At 34.1% G+C, this 21577-nt stretch overlaps 1 protein-coding gene across 11 annotated transcripts in view; it reads left to right on the top strand.

The window, feature by feature from the left end:
* Window positions 1–21577, top strand: part of LNPK (lunapark, ER junction formation factor) — a 78939-nt gene that overhangs the window by 17432 nt on the left and 39930 nt on the right. For 10 of the 11 annotated variants that reach the window (NR_130941.2, XM_006712783.3, NM_001305011.2 and 7 more), the window contains 4 exons: window positions 5521–5579; window positions 14585–14625; window positions 20800–20883; window positions 20966–21017. Coding sequence is in view for 10 of the 11 variants with exons in the window: in XM_006712783.3 (XP_006712846.1) it covers window positions 5521–5579; window positions 14585–14625; window positions 20800–20883; window positions 20966–21017 (236 nt within the window). In the remaining variant the exon portion in view is untranslated. Of the gene's footprint in view, window positions 1–5520; window positions 5580–14584; window positions 14626–17566; window positions 17768–20799; window positions 20884–20965; window positions 21018–21577 lie in introns of those variants that run through there. The other variant, XM_005246880.4, reaches the window with a different exon arrangement.

Below are 21577 nucleotides of genomic sequence, written 5' to 3'. Positions count from 1 at the left end.
TCAATCCACGGAGCCTATTCAGAGTTCATCAGTTTTATATGAATTCCTTTGAGTGGGTTTTATATTTCTGTGCAATTTTATCGCCTGTAGCTTTGTGTAACCACCGCACAATTCAGATCCAGAACTGTTCCATCACCACAAGGCTCCTTTTTGCTACTCCTTTATAGCCATACACATCTTCCTCCACTTTCCGCATTCCTAACCCCTGCCATCCATTAATCTGTTTTCTGTCTCCACAAATTTGTTATTTCAAGAATGTTATAAGATGGACTCACATAGTATGTAACATTTTGAAATTGGCGTTTTTCACTCAGTATATTCTTGAGATCCATCCAAGTTGTTCAGTGTGTCAATAATTCCTTTCTTTCTCTGAGCAGTATTCCATGGTATTAATGTATCATAGTTTAACTATTCACCAGCTGAAGAGCATTTGCATTGTTTCCAGTTCTTGCTATTACAAATAAGGCTGCAATGAATATTTTGTACAAGTTTTTGTATGAACATAAGTCATTTCTCTGGGGTGTATGCCCAAGAGTGCAAATGCTGGAGTATATGGTAAGTACATGTTAGTTTTATAAGAAATTGCTAAACTTTTTTTCAGAGTAGCTATACCATTTTACATTTCCACTAGGTAGGTGTGAGTGATCTAGTTTCTCTTCATCCTTGCCAGCATTTGGTGTTAATCACTCTTTTCTATTTTGACTGTTCTGATAGGTATGTAGCAATATCTCATTGTGGTTTTAATTTTTTGTTTCCCTAATGGCTGAGGATGTTTCATGTGGTTATTTGCCATTAATATGTATCTTTATTAGCAAAATGTTTATTCATGACTTTTGTCCAATTTTCTAATTGGATTATTAGTTTTTTTAACTGTTGAATTTTGAGAGTTCTTCATATATTATAGATAAAAGTTCTGGCCGGGTGCAGTGGTTCACGCCTGTAATCCCAGCACTTTGGGAGACTGAGGCGGGCAGATCATGAAGTCAGGAGTTCAAGACCAGCCTGACCAACATGTGAAACCTCGTCTCTGAAAAATACAAAAATTAGCGAGGCATGGTGACGCGTGCCTGTAATCCCAGCTACTAGGGAGGCCGAGGCAGGAGAATCACATGAACCCAGGAGGCGGAGGTTTCAGTGAGTCAAGATCGCGCCCCACTGCACTCTAGCCTGGGCAACAGAGCTAGACTCCGTCTCAAAAAAAAAAAAAGTTCTTTGTTGGATATATATGGTTTACAGCTTTTTTTCCCCCTAATCTTTAGATTGTCTTGTCTTTTCATCTCCCAACAGGGTCTTTTGCAGAGCAAAAGTTTTTAATTTTGATGAGGTTCAAGTTATCAGTTTTTCCCTTTATTAATTGTGTTTTTCATGTCAATTCTGAGACCACTTTACCTTGCTACAGGTTGTGAAGATTTTCTCTTACTTTTTTTTTCTATACCTTAAATTTTTTTTTTTTAACATTTAATTTCATAATCCATTTTGAGTTAATCAAGGTTCAGGTCAAGGTGGTTTAATTTTTGTTTTTTGTTTTTGCCTGTGGATGTGCTCAGTCAACGTTTTTTGGAAAGGAATCACATTTTTTTTTTTAACTTTATAATGTGACTTTCTTTTAGTTTAAAGGTTTTTTAAAAAAAGTTTAACCATTGGGGTTTTATGATCACAACCCTTGTTTTGTTTGCATTTGCCTGCTATACCTTTGTCTATGGTTTTATTTTCAACCTTAAAAGATACTTAGTTTTAGATGCATCCATTTACATTATAGAGTTGGGTTTTGTCTGGTGTTACAGTGTGAAGGTCTTTTTCTTTTACCTTAGTGAGTTTAGCCCACTTAATATTTGTTGATATGAAAGAAGTTGGTCTGTCTTGAAACAATTTTTTTTGCTTTTGGTTTTTATAATTAAAACCTTTTACTTTGTGGTACATTTACTTTGGGTCAGTTATTTATAGGTCGTGTTGGTATAAAGGCATATCTTCCTGTGTTCCAGGCTAACTAGAATTTTCCTTATGATTCAGGATTTTGTGTGTGAATTTGTTTAGCTGTTATTTTTTCCCAGCCAGTGGGGCTAGGCAATTGTATTTCTTTCACAATACAAAACTTCCCCCCAACCCCCTTGCCATAGGAACAGAATACTCTTTGTAAATAGTGCACTTCTGAATAATTTCTTTTTAATTCCTGCCTTCTCTCTTTTTTTATTGGAACCAAACTGAGGAGTGTCTGCCTGTAGCTGTGCATCTTGTTCTCATTGTTACAAACATGGGTTTTAAGTTTTACACTTGGAAAAGTTTACCTTATTACCTCTTTGTGAAATATGCAGTTTTCTTGTTTTGCTTCCACTTTTTGGAGCCCCTGTGTAATAATCTCCATTGCTTTTGAGAGTGCCTCCACATATTCTGATGGTTGAGTTTTAGTTATATCTCTGTTTTACCAGAGAAGTAGTTTGCAGTTTTATTTTTATTCTCCTTGTTGTTTGGATTATTTTTATGAAGAGAAGGGGGAAGTGGATCTTATGCCACTATTCTCTAACTAGAGGTTAGTAATAATATCCTTAATATCGTCAATATCTTCACAAAATATGTTGCTATATTTTAATACATTATTTTTAATTATTGGGAGAGCAAAACCTTTGTTGGGATAACTAAAACAGAGTCCTGAAGTACTTTAGTTCTTTTTCTAAATTTTATTTAAAAATATAAAAGGGCTAGGCATGATGGTTTATGCCTGTAATCCCAGTGCTTTGGGAGGCAGAGGCAGGAGAATCACTTGAGGCCAGGAGTTCAAGACCAGTCTGGGCAACATGGTGAGATCCTGTCTCTACAAAAATAACAAAAAATACCAAAGAATTTCATTTAATTTAGCCCTAAAGAAAAATAAATTCTGTTTTACCTTTTGAAGTCTTGAAGACTTGACATATGGAAATGTCTGTTGTTTGATAGCTTATGTTATCTAGGAGGAATTCTGATAAAAACCAGAGGAATTTATTGTCCACAGAGAGGATTTAGTGAGTTTTATTTTGAAGAGAGTATATTTCAATTTTTGTAGTATTTACACTGACAATTATATATGCTTTTTAAAAAGTATCTACTCATTTAAGAAAATTTATACATTTCCTACAGAATTCTAGCCACTATCTCTGCAATTCCATCTTTTTTTCCCCGTTTTCTTTCTCTGTATGCTTTTTAAAAGTCCTCCTTCCAGCCTGCTACTATTTCAGTGGGTTTGCACTGGAGAAGTGATACGAGACTTTTTTATTATTGCGGAATCCTTGAGGGTTATGGGCATTATGCTTAACCTATATTCTCTTATCTCCCTTCCCTTGGTAAGGACAAAGCCTGGTGTTTTTTGTACTTTTAGGTAATTGTCCAAATGCCAAATAGGAATCTGGTGCTAGTTATTTGGTGTTTTCATGTCACAAAAATAAATCATCACAATATTAAAAAAAAGTGTATTATCTATTCCTGTGTAACAGATTGCCCCAAAACTTAGTAGCTTAAAACAACAGATGTTTATTATGTCTCAGCTTTTGAGGGGCAGGAATGTTAAGAGCTGCTTAGCTGGGTAGTTCTATCTCAGGATCTTTTGTTCTTAGGTAAATTGCAGTTAAGCTGTTGGTAGGGGCCACAGTCATCTCAAGGCTTAACTAAATCCATACAATCACTGTAGATAAAGTCATTGCAGATCTTTACTCCCTCTGCTGTTATCCAATCTCCAGCTCACTGCTCGGTAGGCATTTGCAATTCCCCTGACTTTCTTCATTCTGTTCTTGTGTTCCTTTTGCTTTTTTCTTGAGGTCTTTTTCTTTTCATATAGGCTGTTTTTTGGCAAGCCTATGTTTAGTTTCCTTTTTCTTTGTATAATCCAGGAATTTACATGCCAAAGCTAATTGTCTTGCCACCACCAAAATGCATTCTGAATTCAAATCCCAATAAGATATCTGGTGTGATCCTACTCACTTTGGCTGATTTTTCCCTAATCTACTCCTAAATTCACACAGGTGGCTGTTAGCAGGCATCAGTTCTTTGCTGAGTGTTTACCACAGACCTTTCTTCCTCACTGCATGGACCTTTTCATAGACTTCTTTGACTGTTCTCATATCATGACAGCTGTCTTCTCACAGAGCTTGTAATCCAGGAGAGAGAAAGACAAGTGAAAGAGGAGGCCCAAAATGGAAGCTGCAGTCCTTTATAACTTAATCTTGAAGTGATACACTATCACTTCTGCCATGCTGTTGGTGGCACAGACCAACACTGGTGAGAGAGGACTACACAATGGTGTGAATACCAAGAGACAGGGATCACTGGTGACTACTTGCAGGTTAACTCCCCAAAATAGCAAATGCTGTATTTCAGAGTGAAGAACTAATTTTCATACTTATATTCTGAATTTATTTCCAGTACAATCAAATTTTTTTTTACAAGAGATACAATGTATGTTTTAAGATGATGAATAATGTTTATATACTTCTTTCTTTCTTTTTTTTTTTTTTTTTGGGACAGTCTTTCTCTGCCGCCTAGGCTGGAGTGCAGTGGCATGATCTTGGCTCACTGCAACCTCTGCCTCCTGGGTTCAAGTGATTCTCCTGCCTCAGCCTCCCAAGTAGCTGGGACTACAGGCGTGTGCCATCACGCCTGGCTAGTTTTTGTATGTTCAGTAGAGATGGGGTTTCACCATGTTGGCCAGGCTGGTCTCAAACTCCTGACCTCAGGAGATCCACCTGCCTTGGCCTCCCAAAGTGCTGGGATTACAGGCGTGAGCCACCGTGCCCAGCCTTATGTACTTATTTCTGCCAGGTTCTATGGAGAAGAGGTATTTTGCTATGTTTACATTGAATTTAGGAGATGACCCTGACAAGTTTGTGATGAGGATTATTCATTTAGTTTCTTTTAATTCTTTCAATTCATTTGATGTCTTACTAATGCAAGGCCTAAAGAATTATCCTTATAAAATCTTTGGGAGGAGATATTTAGCTAATTTTACTCATCAAGTATTTATTTGAAGGTAAGGTTTTTGTTTATTTTTCCTTCAGGTAGCTTAATCTCTTAGAGTAGAGACTGTCCCTCTATTGTTAAATAATAGGGAAGGAGTGGCAACTTACATTTGTATAATGCTCTTACATTTGTAAAAGCATTTTTCCTTAATGTGTGGGAATAGACAAATTAAGTTTTTGGAATTGATGCTTACTTAGTAAGGGATTCTAATATTCTCAATCTTTTGCGGGGTGCATAGATTCCTTTCAGGCTGATGAAAGCAATGGTCTTTCCAGAGAAATGCACTTATGCACACAAAGGTAATTTTGTAATTTAAGGGGATCATCAGAAGGTCTGTGGACTTTAGGTTGAGAACTCCTCCTTTGAAAGCACAGGTTCTGATGTTCTCTGGCAGAAATAAACGCTTTTTAGTTTTCTGTATATAAAGGGAAACAATGTACCTAACTCTAATTGGAAATATATGTTTTCATTTTACATGGCTTCTAATTCGCTTTTTCTAATGATGTTTTTTGTTTCTGAATTTTGCTTCCCTTTTAGCATCTGGAGCATAAGAACAGTAATTATTTTCTTCTTTTCCAAGAGAACAGAAAGAAATAGTAAGTTTAATTCCAATTTTTAATAAATATTTTTTAAAATACCTATTTTAGAATGTGCTGGTAAGACAGGTTGTAAAATATGATATTGGAATGATAATGTGTTAAGTATTGAAGAGTTGTTTATTATAAAGCATGAGAAAGGTTATAAATGATCAAGATGGTTCTGTTTTTAATTTGTGTTATTTCCATCTTGTTCATTTAGATTTTTTTTTACACAAAACAAACTTTTTTTTTTTTTTTGAGACAGAGTCAGGGGCATAGGAAGAGCCTGTCGCCCAGGCAGGAGTGCAGTGGCACGATCTCGGCTCACTGCAACCTCCGCCTCCCAGGTCAAGTGATTCTTGTGCCTCAGCCTCCAGAGTAGCTGGGATTATAGGTGCGTGCCACCACTTCCAGCTAATTTTTTGTATTTTTATAGAGACAGGGTTTCACCATGTTTCCCAGGCTGGTCTCGAACTCCTGAGCTCAGGCAATCCGCCTGCCTCTGCCTCCCAAAGTGCTAGGATTACAGGCGTGAGCAATGGTGCCCGACCAAAACAAACATTTTTAAATAAAGAGAATTTATATTTGTTAAATTAATCTTTATGGAAAACTTGGTTTGTTACAGAGTCTTGTTTCATTTTTACCTCAACCCATTTTTTTCACCCCGTATATTATTTTGAAGTATATCCCAAATGTATCTCTCCATTTTCATACCTGGAAAAGAATTCTTAATATCATAAAATATTAAATATAAAAATATTAACTTTTCAGTTATCTCATAAGTATCATTTGCTTTTAAAAAAATTTTATTTGTTTGACTAAGGATCCAAATAAAGTTTGTACAAATATTAATATATGACTATCAAATTGCCCTCCTCACTCACAACCTCTCTTCTCTTCTGCTCACATTAGATCCTATAATCTACCCCAACGACTATTTCCTTGCTGACACTCTTGACCCTTTTGCTCCTCCTTCTCTTCCTACTTATCTGTCAAAGCCTACCCTCTTTAAATACAATTATATGCCTAATCAATGACTGGCAAAACAGTATTCTGATTAAATACATTTACAGGTTTAATCTCATTGAAGCAGCTAAACTTATTAGAGGAAAATCATACAACATGCTCACCTGACCAGACTTATTTTAAATCTATGATTGCAGATATCAAGTATGTACTTAAAACTGCCTTATGGTCCTATTATAGTTCCCCAGTAAATTCACCTTTTTCTCTGTCAGCGTGATGTTTGTTACTGTATTTCTCCTCAAATCACTAATACCTGCCTCCTACCAAAAACCAACAATCAAATCTAACCAAACTAAAACCAACCAACCAACCAAATAAATCAAAAGTCACAAACAAACCTTACAAAATCTACCTGGTCACTCTTAACCTATAGTCTTACTTTATACAGAAAATAGATGTAAACAGATGAGAGCTACCTACACCACCAAGTGAAATTGTCCTTCAGTATCTGTGAGGGATTGGTCCCAATACCCTCCGAGAATAAAAGTGGTATAGAATTTGGATGTAACCTACACATCCTCCTGCATACTTTAAATCATTTGTAGATTACTTGTAATCTCTAATGCAATGTAATACTATATAAATAGTTGCTATATTTTATTAATTTTAAATTTGTATTTTTTATTGTTGTTATTTTTAATTTTTTCTGAATATTTTTGATCCATGGTTGATTTAATTCCATGAGTGCTGAACTAATCCATATGGAGGGCTGAATGTATGTAAAGTTAGCTCTACCTGTACTCAGTAGGGTCTCAACCTTCATTATATTTTGTAAGACTGGCCTTGATCTCATCTATGGCTAACCGCCATTTATGCTCTGGATTCTAAATACTCTGGCCATCTCTAGAGCTTTGCTCTTATAGTTATCTCCTGTAGTTATCATCTCTTTTGCATCATTTTATGTTTTATTATTCCTATTGGCATATAATTCTGCCTCAGTATGACTATGTGGGGAAAAAACCTCTCCTAACCCTACATTTCCTTTAAGCTACCACCAATTTCTCTTTCTTGTTCAAAACAAAAATTTTTTAAAAAATTATTTGTAGTTGTTATCTCTTCTTTTCCTCCACCTATTCCTTCTCAACATAATTTGTTTAGGTTTTGTTTCCACCATTTTTTACTGCAGTGGCTCATTTCAAGGTCACTCATTATCTATGTCTTGTCAAAGCCAGTAATCAGCTCTCTTTTCTCATACAGCTTGATCTCTTAATAGCATTTGAATTAATTCAGTTATTCACTCTTTTTCTGAAAACTTTTTAAGCTTCTTTGACAACACTTCACTGGTGATTTCTTTTTAGTTTTATTTGCTTTACCTCTTCTACTAGAATTCTGCCTTTGGCTTTCTTTTTTTTTTGATAACTTGTTTGGGTCTGTGCTGTCTGATAGAACCTTCTCTGATGAGAATAATCTGTATCTACTGTTCAATATGGTATCTGCTAGCCATTTGTGACTGTTGAGCACTTGAAATGAGGCTAGTGTAAATGAAGAACTGGATTTTAAATAGCTTAAATTTAAATAGCCCCATGTGGCTCCTGGCTATTATTAATACATTAGACAGTACATCTCTAGGTGATTTTATTCACTTCCACAGATTCAGATATTGCCTATTTGTTAATGATTCCCAAATCTAAGTCTTTAGTCCAGTCTCTTCCCTTCAGCTGTAGACTTGTATACCTAACTGTGTAATTGACATTTCCACTTAGGAGTTTAGTAGGCATCTCATAAGTAACATGGCCAAAAGAGAATTAATATTGCTCCTCCCCTTTATTCCCACTCCCTCATGTCTGCTCTTCCCTTTGTCTTCTCCATCTCAGTAAATGTTTACCCTATATGACTAATAGTTAAAACTTGCATTAGTTAGGGTTCTCCAGAGAAACAGAACCAATAGGAAATATTATAAGGAATTGGCTCATGCAATTATGGAGACTGAGAAGTCCCAGGATCTGCAGTTAGCAAGCTGGAGACCCAGGAGGGCTAATGGTTTAGTTCCAATCTAAGTCTGAAGGCCTGAGAACCAAGAGAGCCAGTAAGTGTAAGTTCTAGTCTGAAAGCTAGCAGGTTCAAGACCCAGAAAGAGCTGATGTTTCAGTTTGAGTCTGAAGGCAGGAAAAGATAGATGTCCTAGCTCCAGGGAGTCGGGCATGGTGTGTTCTCACTCACTGGAGGGAGAAGCAAACTTTTTGTTCTATTCAGGCCTTCAGCTGATTGGCTGAGGGCCACTTCATTAGGGAGAGCAATCTGCTTTACTCAGTGTACTGATTGAAATGCTAATCTTACCCCAAAACAACCTCACAGACACCCAGAATAATGTTTGACCAATTATCTGGATACCTTGTGTGACCTAATCAAGTTGACATATACGATTAACCATCACAAGACCAAAAGCCTGGGAGCTATTTTGATTCTTCTTTCATATTCATTCACATTACCAGCAAGTCATATAATCTTTACCTCCAAAATTATCTTGAATCTGACCAGTTCTCACTTTCTTTACTACTACAGTTCTAATTCATTATCATCTCTTGCTTGCACAATTGCTTCTTCACTAGTCTGTTTTTAAGGTATAAATCAGATCTTGTGTGTCTTTTGCTTAAAATTGTCTAATAGCTTCCCATTGCAACCAGAATGAAATCTGAATTCATATCCTGACTTTCTAGCTTGTTCCTATTTCTTCAACCTCATCTTTCACTCTCCTTTGTTCACTTCTGCTCCAGCCACACTGGCCATCTTTTTGTACTACAAACAAGTTCCCTGAACCTTACAGTTTCTTTCTTTCTTTCTTTTTTTTTGAGATGGAGTCTCACTCCGTTGACCAGGCTGCAGTGCAGTGGCACGATCTCAGGTCACTGCAACATCCATCTACTGGATTAAAGCAATTCTCTTGCCTCATTCTCCCAAGTAGCTGGGATTACAGGCACCCGCCACCATGCCCAGCTAATTTTTTTGTATTTTTAATAGAGACAGGGTTTCACCATTTTGTCCAAGCTGGTCTCAAACTCCTGGCCTCAAGTGATCCACCTGCCTCAGCCTCCCAAAGTGCTGGGATTACAGGCATGGGCCACTGCGCCCAGCTGGACCTTACAGTTTCTTAATTTATAAAATGGGAACAGAAAGAATGAGTAAGACCTAGTATTTGATAGCACAATAGGGTGACTATAGTCAATAATAACTGTACATTTTAAAATAAAGAGTATAATTGGATTGTTTACAATTCAATGGATGAATGCTCAAGGGGAAGGATACCGCATTCTTCATGATGTGCTTATTTCACATTGTATGCCTATGTCAAAACATCTCATGCACCCCATAAATATATACGGCCACTATGTACCCACAAAAAAATAAAATGAAAACAGGAATATTTGTTTTGGTAGGACTGTTAAAAGTAGTAAATGTTACTATATATGAAAGCATATAAAAATTGCGAAGTGTTATACAAATGTGAGCTGATGGCACTGATTCTTCTTTTCCAATTCTTATTCTTTTATTTTTCTTGCTTAAATGGGTTAGGACTGAGTACAGTATTCACTTGAAGTGGGAATAGCAGGTATCCTTGTCTAGTTCCTGATTTTAATGGAAAAAACTTTTAATATTTTACCATTAAGTATGATGTTTGCTGTAGTTTTAAAAAATGTTAATGCTTTTTATCAGATTAAGGAAATTTAAGCTTCTGATACTGTTTTTGGTGATATTTAGTAATATAGCAGATGGTGGAAGAATAGGAAGAAGTTGAAAGCAAATATGCTTTCTGACTCCAAGGAATAGCAAGATAGTAAAAAAAAAAAAAAAAATAAGAAACCTTTTTCAAGAGTCCTTTGGAACACTTCTTTAAGGAAATCAAATGTATGAATATTTTTAACTTATGTAATAAATAGGCAGATCTGGACGTGGTTATGAAAGGGATTTTTTTTTTGCTTTAAAATATATTTCAGAGGTTCTTTTTGTTTTTAATTGTACTAATTCATTTTAATAGGTATTACCTGTATGTTTAAAATCGACTTTGTAAAAGATTGTCTTGCAGTCACATAGTATTTTTTTAAGCCTGAAGCTATTGGTCCTGTCCTTGTTTTTTATTCTCGATTATTTTTACTTGTTTTGTTTTACAAGTTGGACCTTGTATAAATTAAAGCAGGAATTGATGGCTGCAGCCTGGAAGCCAAGTCCTGCCCACTGCTTTGTACAGCTCATGATTGGCTTTTATATTTTTAAATTATTGCAATAGTAAAATGAATAATATTTTGACATGTAAAATTTATATGAAATTCAAATTTCAGTTTTTATTGGAACACAGTCATGCTGTCTTTAGCTGCGTTCATCCTACAATAGCAGAATTGAGTAGCTGTGACAGACTGTATGTGGTGCTCTCATCACTTCAGGCACTTGTAGGACTAATCATTTCATCATTTCACACTGTTGTACGACCGATGCAGTTATAACTTTACAGCATTTTTTAAGTGCCATGTGTATTTTTGTACTGTGACAATTTTATTTTATTTTTATTACCCGTGCATACCCATCATGTAAAAACCAGGAAAGAAAAGTGGACTTTGAATGTTGCACTTTTAGTACATAATGGAATGTGGACTATTTTATTATCAAAATGCAAAGCATTGTATTTTTTATGCAATGACGTTATAGCTGTGCTAAAAGAGTACAATATGTATTTGACATTACCATACTAACTACTTATCATCATATTCCCAACTCACAGAAAGCAATGGTCATAAAAATTAGAAAATTTAAAATGGAATATATTATTGCAGAATTGCTCCATAAAACTAAAAGGGAAAATGGGGCTTCAGTCAAAGAAAGTTTCTGAGTGGCTTGTTTGTGAAGAAAGGAAAGCCATTTACCAATTATGAGTTAATTAAATTGTGTTTGATTGCTGCAGCAGAAGAAATGTATTCAGGGAAAATACACTTAAGACTAGTAACGTTTCAGCAAGAACAGTTGCCTGAAGAATTGAGAAAAATTCAGAAAAACAAACATGAGTAGTCAATTAAAGAACAAGGCAAATGATTTCAAGTGATCTTCCTTGGCTGTTGTTGAGTTGACAGATGTTATCAATACTGCTCAATTGTAGTTTGAGTTGTCCACGCTGAGCTTGAAGTGACTGAAGAATTAGTCTCTATAAAAAGTCTTTGCAGAACAACTTTAGGTGAGAATATTTTCAGTGAAGTTTAGAAAACAGCAATTTACTACAACCTGAAGTGGAATCTGCTAAGATGTACTGTAACTACTGCTGGTAAAAATATGTAACAGAAAAAGACTTAGTTGTACAAATTGTACAAAACTTTTGAAACTGTAAGGTGTTTACAGTCTATGGTTATTCATTGTATTATTCAACAACAGGTACTTCACAGAACATACTTGAATTTGTCATTTTGTAGGGCCAAAGGGAACTTCATTGCTCTCATGGACTTAACCATTGTCAGTTATGTGAATTTCAATCATGAATAGAAGCTATCTTGACTTGCCTCACAGCAGTTTGATGGCTTAGCAATGGCAAAGTTTTATTGTCATATTTTGAGCTCAAAACCTAGATTGAAATACTTCAAATGAGAAGGACCATCTTCAGTCACTGTGTTTGAATACTGACTGGCTTTGGAAATTAGCTTTTGCTACAGCCTTGATAATGGTTCTTAATTAATCCAACCTAAGATTGCAAGGCAAAACAATGTATATATGCAAAACCTATAATGTGGTGAAGTCATTTAGAAAACAACATTGTAATGACAAGTAATTTTTTTTAAAAGTGCTATAAAAATGGAAACAAGAAGCAGGATTGCCATTCCCACACAAATTTGTAGCAGATGCATTATCCGAGGTGAAATTATAGTTCCAGTAGAATTTTTCAGACCTCAAGGCAAGTGCAAAGGAAATTTCTGTGTTTCTAAATCCATTTCACTGTATAATTGAAGAGCTTCAGTCTTTGATTGGAGGTGATTAACTTCCAATGTAATAATACTCTAAAAGGCAAATGCCAAGAGAAGAATCTAATAGAATTTTATAAATGCCTTTCAAACTAGTGAATATGCTCAATTAAAATCCTATGCCTGTGGATTGATATCAGTATTTGGCAGTAACTACCTCTGTGAAAAGACATTAAAAAATCAAATATGTAAAATCTCATTACAGATCAGCATTAATGGATTATCATTTGCAATCAGTTTTGATGATAGAGAACACTTAGCTTTGAACCTCAATTAAGTGAAATGTTATCCACCCCTGAAAGTATTACATTCTTTTCCCTGGTAGACTTATATTACAAAAAATTGAACTCAATTATTATATAGGTTGAACATCCCAAATCTGAAAATTCAAAATCTGAAATCCCCCTAAATCCAAAATTTTTTGAATGCCAACATGATACTCAAAGGAAATGGTCCTTGGAGCATTTTGGATTTTGGATTTTTGGATTTGAGATGCTCAGCTGGGGTGTATTCTGCAGATATTCCAAAATTAAAAAAAAAATTGAAATCTGAAACACTTCTAGCACCAAGCATTTCAGATAAGAGATACTCAACCTGTATTTGAATTTAGTCTATAAAGTTTGTGGAAATTTTGTATTTCTTTTGTATTTCTTAGGCTGGGCTCAGTGGCTCATGCCTGTAATCTAGCACTTTGGGAGGCCAAGGCAGGTGGATAACCTGAGGTCAGGAGTTCAAGACCATCCTGGCCAACATGGAGAAACCCTGTCCGTACTAAAAATACAAAAATTAGCTTGGTGTGGTGGTACACGCCTGTAATTCCAGCTTGGGAGACTGAGGTATAAGAATTGCTTGAACTCTGGAGGCAGAGGCTGCAGTGAGCCGAGATCATGCCACTGCACTCCAGCCTGGGTGACAGAGCAATACCCTGTCTCAAAAAACAAAAAAATACAGACTTGATTTTGCTTTTTGGCCCATAAAGCCCAAAATACTTACTTTTTCCTTTACAGAATAAGTTTGCTAACCCTTGGATTAAAGTACAGATGTTTGGCTTGGTCTTATCTAACAAAAAATTACTATTCTCTTTGAAGATGTTAGCAGATTTCCTCTGCTTTTAGTAACAAGTTAGCTATCACATTAAAGACTGCTTAATCTATTTTGAAAAAAGTTTTATAGTAAAATCATCTTTTTATATGTTTGTGTTTCCTTGAATTTTTACATAAATGATGTACTTTGAGTTGGGTATTCAGGTATTTGTTACCTAGAATTTCAGTGAAGAAGTAATAATTTTATTTATAAATTTAATTAAGTATTAAGAACAGTTATTTACATTTCATTTGATAATATTCAAGCCATAAGTTCTGCTTTCCTTAGGGAATAGTGTTTCAATCTGTATTAGTTAAATATTTCTAGAGAAAAACTAGAAACTTAAATAATTTGTAAATCAAACATTGACATTCATAAAAGATATCCTCTGAGGTGATTCTTTCTGTTCCACCATGCCAACCTATATAAGCGGGCAAATCTTAGAAATGTTTAATTTTGGAAAGTTATTAGTATTTTTTTCCATGTCCCTTCTCAGATGCAATAAGGTAGATTTTCTAGGTTTTTTAAAAAGTCGTGCTTAATATCTTCAGGCTTGACTAAGTAAAATATGTATTTATTTCCTTATAAACAAAGAGAACATTTTTATTACCAGTGTATAAAAAGAGATTTGATACTAATTTTGTAAATTAATGTGGGTGAGGTGTTGAAAGGAAAAAGAAATAGTAGAAAGTAATGTTTCTGAACACATTAAAAAGTATTTGTATATATTTCAATTTAGAAAGGTGCTTTATACTATGTAAAGTCAATTTTTCACCTCAATGGCCTATAATATATAATACAGGCAAAAATATGAACTATATGTGGGTGAAGATGGAGATAATTTTTGTCTCTACACATCAGTTAAATTTTGAAAAATCCTAAAATAAGAAAGTTTTCTTGTGTTTGCTACCGTGTGTCATTTGGCGTGATTTTTTCTTATATCTAAATATCTTAATCTTTGATTTAAATCTTGCTTTCTAGATGAAGCATTGGATGATTTAAAATCCCAGAGGAAAAAAATAGTAAGTTAACTTTTATTTAAAATTAATTTATATTAAACTAATAAGAACTGAATAATTAATGTTTATGTGTTGGAAGTTAATAACTCTCCAAGGAAGAAATATGCTTTTAGATAGCATTTTAATGATGAAGTGAAATTGTGAATATTTTTGCTAGTTAATAATGATTGACAGGAAAAAGTAGTTTAGAAGGACTTTTGAGATTCTGAGAATCTGTATCAGTTGGAAGCTGAGAAGTAAGTAAATGAGTCATATTGGAGGCCTAAATGAGGCAGAGAGGGTAAAAATGTGGGTACCAGATTGTTTATTAGAGCTAAATAAAAAAGGACAAAATATCTCCACGTGTCAGTTCTCAGGTTTTCTTGACACCAAGAAAGAGAGGGAATCAAGAAGATCGGTTGTAAGAGAGCAATTCAACATGAAAATACTGAAGAAGAGATGGGAGAGAGAGAGAGATAATTGTTTTCTTCAGAGTTTTCCACTTTCTATCAGTAACTCTGATCACATGGATATCTATTGTGGGGCTAGTTGATGCATCCCTTCAGATGTGTTGGAAAGAGGACCAAGAGTAAGACAGAAGGCGCTCTAGATATTGATACATAGTAGTCTGTAATAAGTGAATTGAAGTTGGTGTTTGACATAGAGCTACTAATTTTTTAATGATTATTTTTGAAGTGTGAAAATGATAACTGCTGATAGTATTATGTTGTATAGAAATGTATTTAATAAAATTTAATCAGGTACAAATGATCAATTCAATATATTTTAGTCTAGTATGTAACAAGTAATAATTAAGAAACCAATATTGTGAAGGTTAAGACTAATGTTAAAAATTATTCTGTGAATTGATGATAATAGATACTGGTTTTAAGGGCTTTAAGTACCTGAAAAGTAAGAGAACTTTAATTTTGAAAGGATTCCTTAGCTTTGTTTGCTCCTTATTGGGTGTCCTGTGAGGTATTTATCAAAACTGCATTGGCAATTTTGGTGGTCCTAAATTGCCAAACACAGAAATATCTTATTATTATGTTTCTGCTATTCTGCACATTATGGAACAGCCAGAAATTCAAAGTGAGGAAATACTGATGGTGTCAGTGATTTAGAAGTTGTGATATGATTGGTTTGACTTGCTGATGAGATAAAAAGAAGAGCTGGTACTGGTGATCAGAGACAAGTCCTGCTTATACCAAAATGGAGAAATATTAGTTAAAGTAGAAAAGATGAAGAGGAAGACAAAGGAAAGCAGAAAAGAAAAAAGTCCTAAGTGATGAGAAGCAGCCCAATGTCACTGGCATCATATGGCCAGAAAACAGGATCTTGAAGAACATATGATTTGGGAAAATCTCTCAATAGAGTAACAGAGCTGACTTGGAAAATTGTGTGAAAGGATAAGTCAAGCTATTTACTACTTTTTAAATAGCCTTTAAAGGAATCGCAACATAAAAGATGTTTCATTTTAAGTCTGACAACAGTTGAAAAAGTTGAGTTCAATAGCTCTGCAAGTTTAAATGGTTCATTAGGCATCAATATTAATAATTCAATATGGCATTTCTCTTGCAGTTTGACTAAAGAAAAATGTTGGCTCTAATTCACTTTATTAATTAAACACAATTTGCATTTACTTGATTATTGTTGGTTATAATACTGTTTGCTACTCGAACTAGTTTGTGATCTTGACTGTTCAAGCCTTTAACAGAGCTGCTTTGTTTGAGTAGTTTTACACTTTGGTTTTTTTTTTTTCTTTTTTTGAGATGGAATTTTGCTCTTGTTGCCCAGGCAGGAGTGCAGTGGTGCAATCTCGGGTCACTGCGACCTCTGCCTCCCAGGTTCAAGTGATTCTCCTGCCTCAGCCTCCCAAGTAGCTGGTATTACAGGCATGCACCACCACACCTGGCTAATTTTGTATTTTTAGTAGAGGCGGGGCTTCACTATGTTGGCCATGCTGGTCACTACTTGATATTTTATTAAAAGTGGTTTCCTTGGGGATGCATCCCTTTAATCTGAATAGATTTGTAATGTAATTTGAAATTTGTAAAATTGTAATTTGTAATGACAGATATGAATTATCAATTGATTAAAAAGTAAATTAGGAAAGAGCATCTTAACAATATTTTAAGAGCTTAATGTAAGTATTATTATTATAAAGTTAGGAAGTAATCTTTAGTTATCTAAAAAATTCCCAAGTCTAGATCTGTGTGCATTTTACCATTCACGTATTTTGTGGCCCTTTAACAAAACTTGAGTTTTTAATAATCACTGAGTAATCTGTGCAAGCAGATAATCCCTCTGCATCCATGAGCATTCCTTCAAAACAGTTCAAAAATCAAGCTCTATCAAAATACATGAGTCAAGATTACCTCTTTAAATGGCTTCATGAAAATTTTGTGCTTTTTCAGAATATTAGTCCTATGTGGTAATTTCCAGCATTCCTTGGGAAATCTGTGTTTTTCTGAATCTTGAGAAAAATCACTTGAGAAATTGGGAACATGAGGAAAAGTGTTATAGTTCCCTGAGAATTAAAGCTTAACAATCAACTACAGATGTTACTAGTTCAAAGGAATTCACTAATGTCAGCTGAAGGCAAGAGCAAGAAATTCTGACATGCTGAGTTACAGGTTAATGTTGACGTTTCTGGGAACAGTACAGAATCATAGAGAAGTGGTACAATCTAATCAGTTTTGTGGGCATTTATGGCACTCTCTTATTAATGGTGAGTCATTCTTGCAAATAAAAATGTTTATATACCTACTATAATTTATATAAATGTATAAAGTATATTTTGTACAAATCCTGTGCGTGATATTCCATGAAATAAGTTTTGGAAGCAAAAGAAGTCTTTAAATTGGCAATTTTAGCTTTTATTCTCTATAGAGTTCTTAACCTTATAGCGGCTTAAAATGTTACATTTTTGTATTACCCAGTAATGTTTTCTGGCTTTTCCCAGTGTTTGAATATTCACCTTAGGCTACACAATAACAGAAGAAATGCAAAGAAGAAAGATGTGACTATTATTGTGGAATACTCTTATATGAAAGAAAATGATATAACATCTGAATTAGTAAAAGCATCATCAATTTCAACAGCAAACCTCAAATCAGGGATACCAGACAGTATTTTCAGCATGATAAAAGGATGAGTTTATATGGTATAACATGCTCCCTAATACTCTGAATTGCAAAGTTAATGCAAAATGAAAGAAATGAAAGAAAGTTTTCTTACATCTGGAATATTTTTCATGAGTAAATATTGGTTAGGGAAATTAATGCTTTGTGCGTTTTAAAATTCTGTTTCAAGAATGATAATTTTAGTATTAAATATTTGTAGAATTGTCTTTCAAAACTTAAAAAGTTTTTTTCACATTTATTTTGTGCTAGTGTGCCCTTTTAATGTTTTCTATGATGTAATGGCTGTATCCAGTAGAAATAATTTTTACATGTTATAGAAATATAACTCATCACAATGTTGACTCTTAATAGAATCATGTATTTATTATTCTATCTTTTAAAATAAAAAAGCCCCTAAAACCTTTAGTACAACCGTATTACAGAAAAATGATTCATTCTTTAACACTAACGATAGCTGATGAGCTCAAAAATAAAAAATTGCAAAAAAATGTTATAATGTTTTAAAGTTTACGAATTTGTTTTGGGCTGCATTCAAAGCTATCTTGGGCCACATGTGGCTGGTGGCTAAGGGTTGGACAAGCTTGAATGAGAGAATTCTCAAGAATTCTAGTTTCTTGTTCCTGAATCTTGAGGTTAATATGTTGAGTTTTTGGAAATAGTTTGTTTCAGGCCCATTCTGAGTAATTGAGATGTCTCTGAAAATTATGTTAATATTTTAGGCACTGTTGTGGACTCTTTCTCCTACATTATATTTTTTTAAATTGCACAGTAGTGCTATGAAGAAAGTATTAAAATATCTATGCAGAGGAGAAACTGAGGCTGACAAAGTGCTAACAATCTTCTAAGAATAGAAATGTGCGTTGAACCCAGATCTTTTCTCACTTTGAAGTTTCAAATTCATGTTCTTTGCACTGAACAGTGTATTTAAAACATATTATTACTTAAATGTTGTATGGATGTGTGTTAATTAAGCTATTATATGAAAATATTTTGTTAGAAGTAAATGCAAAAAATGGGAAATAGATTTGTATCTTTTAGTACTTAAAAACTGATTTTATTTAAGATAAATAAAAACATAGATACACTTGAATACTTGCTGAATAATCTACCAGGAATGCAATCATTCGATAAAGTAGCATTTTGGTTTGGAGTTTTGTGTGTTGTTTTAAAGATCACAGTTTAATCTTTTTAAACCTAGTAGTAGTTTTAGTCTAGAGTTATCTGTCCAAATCAGTATGACTGTTTACATTTACATTATTTAAAATGAAATAAAACTACAGCTGGGCGCAGTGGCTCACACCTGTAATCCCAGCACTTTGGGAGGCTGAGGTATGTGGATCACTTGAGGCCAAGAGTTCGAGACCAGCCTGGCCAACATGGCGAAACCTCGTCTCTACTAAAAATACAAAAACTAGCCGGGTGTGGTGGCGCGCATCTGTAATCCTAGCTACTTGGGAGCCTGAGGCAGAGAATCGCTTGAACCTGGGAGGTGGAGGCTGCAGTGAGCCGAAACCACTCACTCCAGCCTGGGTGACAGAGTGAGACTCCATCTAAAACAAAACAAAATGAAACAAAACAAAAGTACAAATTCAGTTCCCCAGTTGCACAAGCAACATTTTAAGTGCTCATTTATCACATAGGGCTTAGTGGCTACTATTACGCTGACATAGACCATTTTCATCATTACATAAAGTTTTACTGCACAACACTGCTAAAAAATCAAAAGTCTAATGTGTAGAGATCAGGGATTTGCTTCTTTGATATTCCATGTAGATTATGTTGATTTGGGGATGTATTTTATTATGCCCTCTTTCTACCTCTGTTCCTAGTTTTTTTTTTTCTAACTCTAAAGTGATACTATAAACATCTCCTTTACATCAGAAAAGTCAACTTGTTTATTTTGAGAATTTATAATAATTTTGAAATAGGAAAATATTTTAGTTTCATTAAACCAAGGCAAGGCTAATAAATCATTCATCTAAGTACCTACCTCTTAAATGTCGAATTGAGTGTTTAATGAGGAATCTGTTAACTGCTATTGTGGCAGCATATTTTTAACTCAGTAAATGTGCTTTGGGTTGCATTTTAAAATAAATGTCCTTTGGAATGAATATGACATTTAATGAATCTTAGTGGTTATCAGTGGTCACTGAGAAAGAAAAGGTTCTTTTCCAATTTTTGCAAAAGCACTTTATCCTACATATTAGGTAATTTGTCATTACTATGACTGTCTTGTACTAAAGTTCAACTTTTTCTGATGTTGAACTAGCCGTAACTGCTAGTGATACTTTACTAGTGATTATATTTTAAGTTAAACCCATGTATTAAGTTATAAAGTGACTTGAGTGCATGGTAAATAAAACGTTACAATAATGAAGTGATTTAATTATAGTCCCTAGTGTGAACATAGAACTCAGTAAAATTTTTGCTTAAATTCTGTGCTCAGTTTTTTCCTCTAAAGTTGTTTGAGTCTAAGTAAAAAAGAGGTGAGGGTTATCTTTTAAAGTCATTTGAGCAAATTCCATGGCTGTTCTCCCAGTTAGTGAGTTTTCACTGCATTTGCAGCAAGCTAATTGCTTCTGCTAATAAATAATCTAAAATCGATGCTGACAGCAGTTAATTGGCACAGAGATTTTATTTTGTAAAGCTCTTGGCTAACGACCTTCTTTAAATTAATAGCATTAAGTGCTATGAGGAAATAAATCTGAGGAATTGCCTGTCATTTGCTTGTCATGTCTAATAACTTCCAATAATGATGGCTGATAGATTTTTGCACATTCCATTATTGAAGTTGGTGCATGTAATTATTCTCCTCATTATATGTAAACAATTAGCAATATTTGGTATTTCCTTGCAGTAAAACTGTTAAGTACAAGTAACATATTAGAGGTTAGAAGCCATTTTAAAATCTGGATTTTAATTATTCGAATGTAGGAAGTCTTTCATTCTATTTGGATATATTAAGGATATTTAAACCTTTTTGAATAGGACTTATACAAATAAGTAGTGTGTGTTTTGAAGTGTGACAATTTATGGAAATTTTTGTTCGTAGCTTGAAGAAGTCATGGAAAAAGAAACTTACAAGACGGCTAAATTAATTCTTGAAAGGTTTGATCCGGACTCAAAGAAAGCAAAGGTAAGACTGTGATATCACTACTATTTTATTATAAATTACACATTGTAATAGGTCACTGTAATAACATTATTATAATTGACAGGAGTGTGAGCCGCCATCTGCTGGAGCAGCTGTAACTGCAAGACCTGGACAAGGTAAATAACTTAGTAGAAACTGCTGCTGCTGTTGGAAAGATCCATAATTACCCAAGTGAGTTCAAAAGTGTGTTGGAGGTGTGCAAAAACTTATGTAGAATGCTTCTGTGTAAATTTATATTTGGTAATTTGGGATATGACTTAGGGTGGATGGCAATAATTTTATTTCATTTTGATTTTATGGGAATATGTTAAGTTAGGATGTCAAATATGTATTGAGATTAAATATATCATTGGTTTTAATCTTTTAAAATTTAAATAATTTCATCAATATTTTGTAAATATTTCCCACTTTCAAATAATAGTCTCTTGGAATATCTGTTATTATGAAAATCCTTACATTTTTATGTTTTATTTTTGAAAAATGTTATGATTTCTGTGAAATTTTGTTTTTTCTAAAATAACACTTTAGAATAAAATAATTTAGAAATAAGAAAAATGAAAATTGAATTATCGCTGTGTAATGTTAACTATTTTTGAGCTTGTATTACCATATTATTAATGAAGTCATTACTATTACATCATTAAATGTTATATAAAATTTTAACCGTCATTATATT

Source organism: Homo sapiens, chromosome 2 (genome assembly GCF_000001405.40).
Source record: "Homo sapiens chromosome 2, GRCh38.p14 Primary Assembly".
NCBI classification, from domain to species: Eukaryota; Metazoa; Chordata; class Mammalia; order Primates; family Hominidae; genus Homo; species Homo sapiens.
This window is presented reverse-complemented; position numbering and strand designations above follow the sequence as displayed.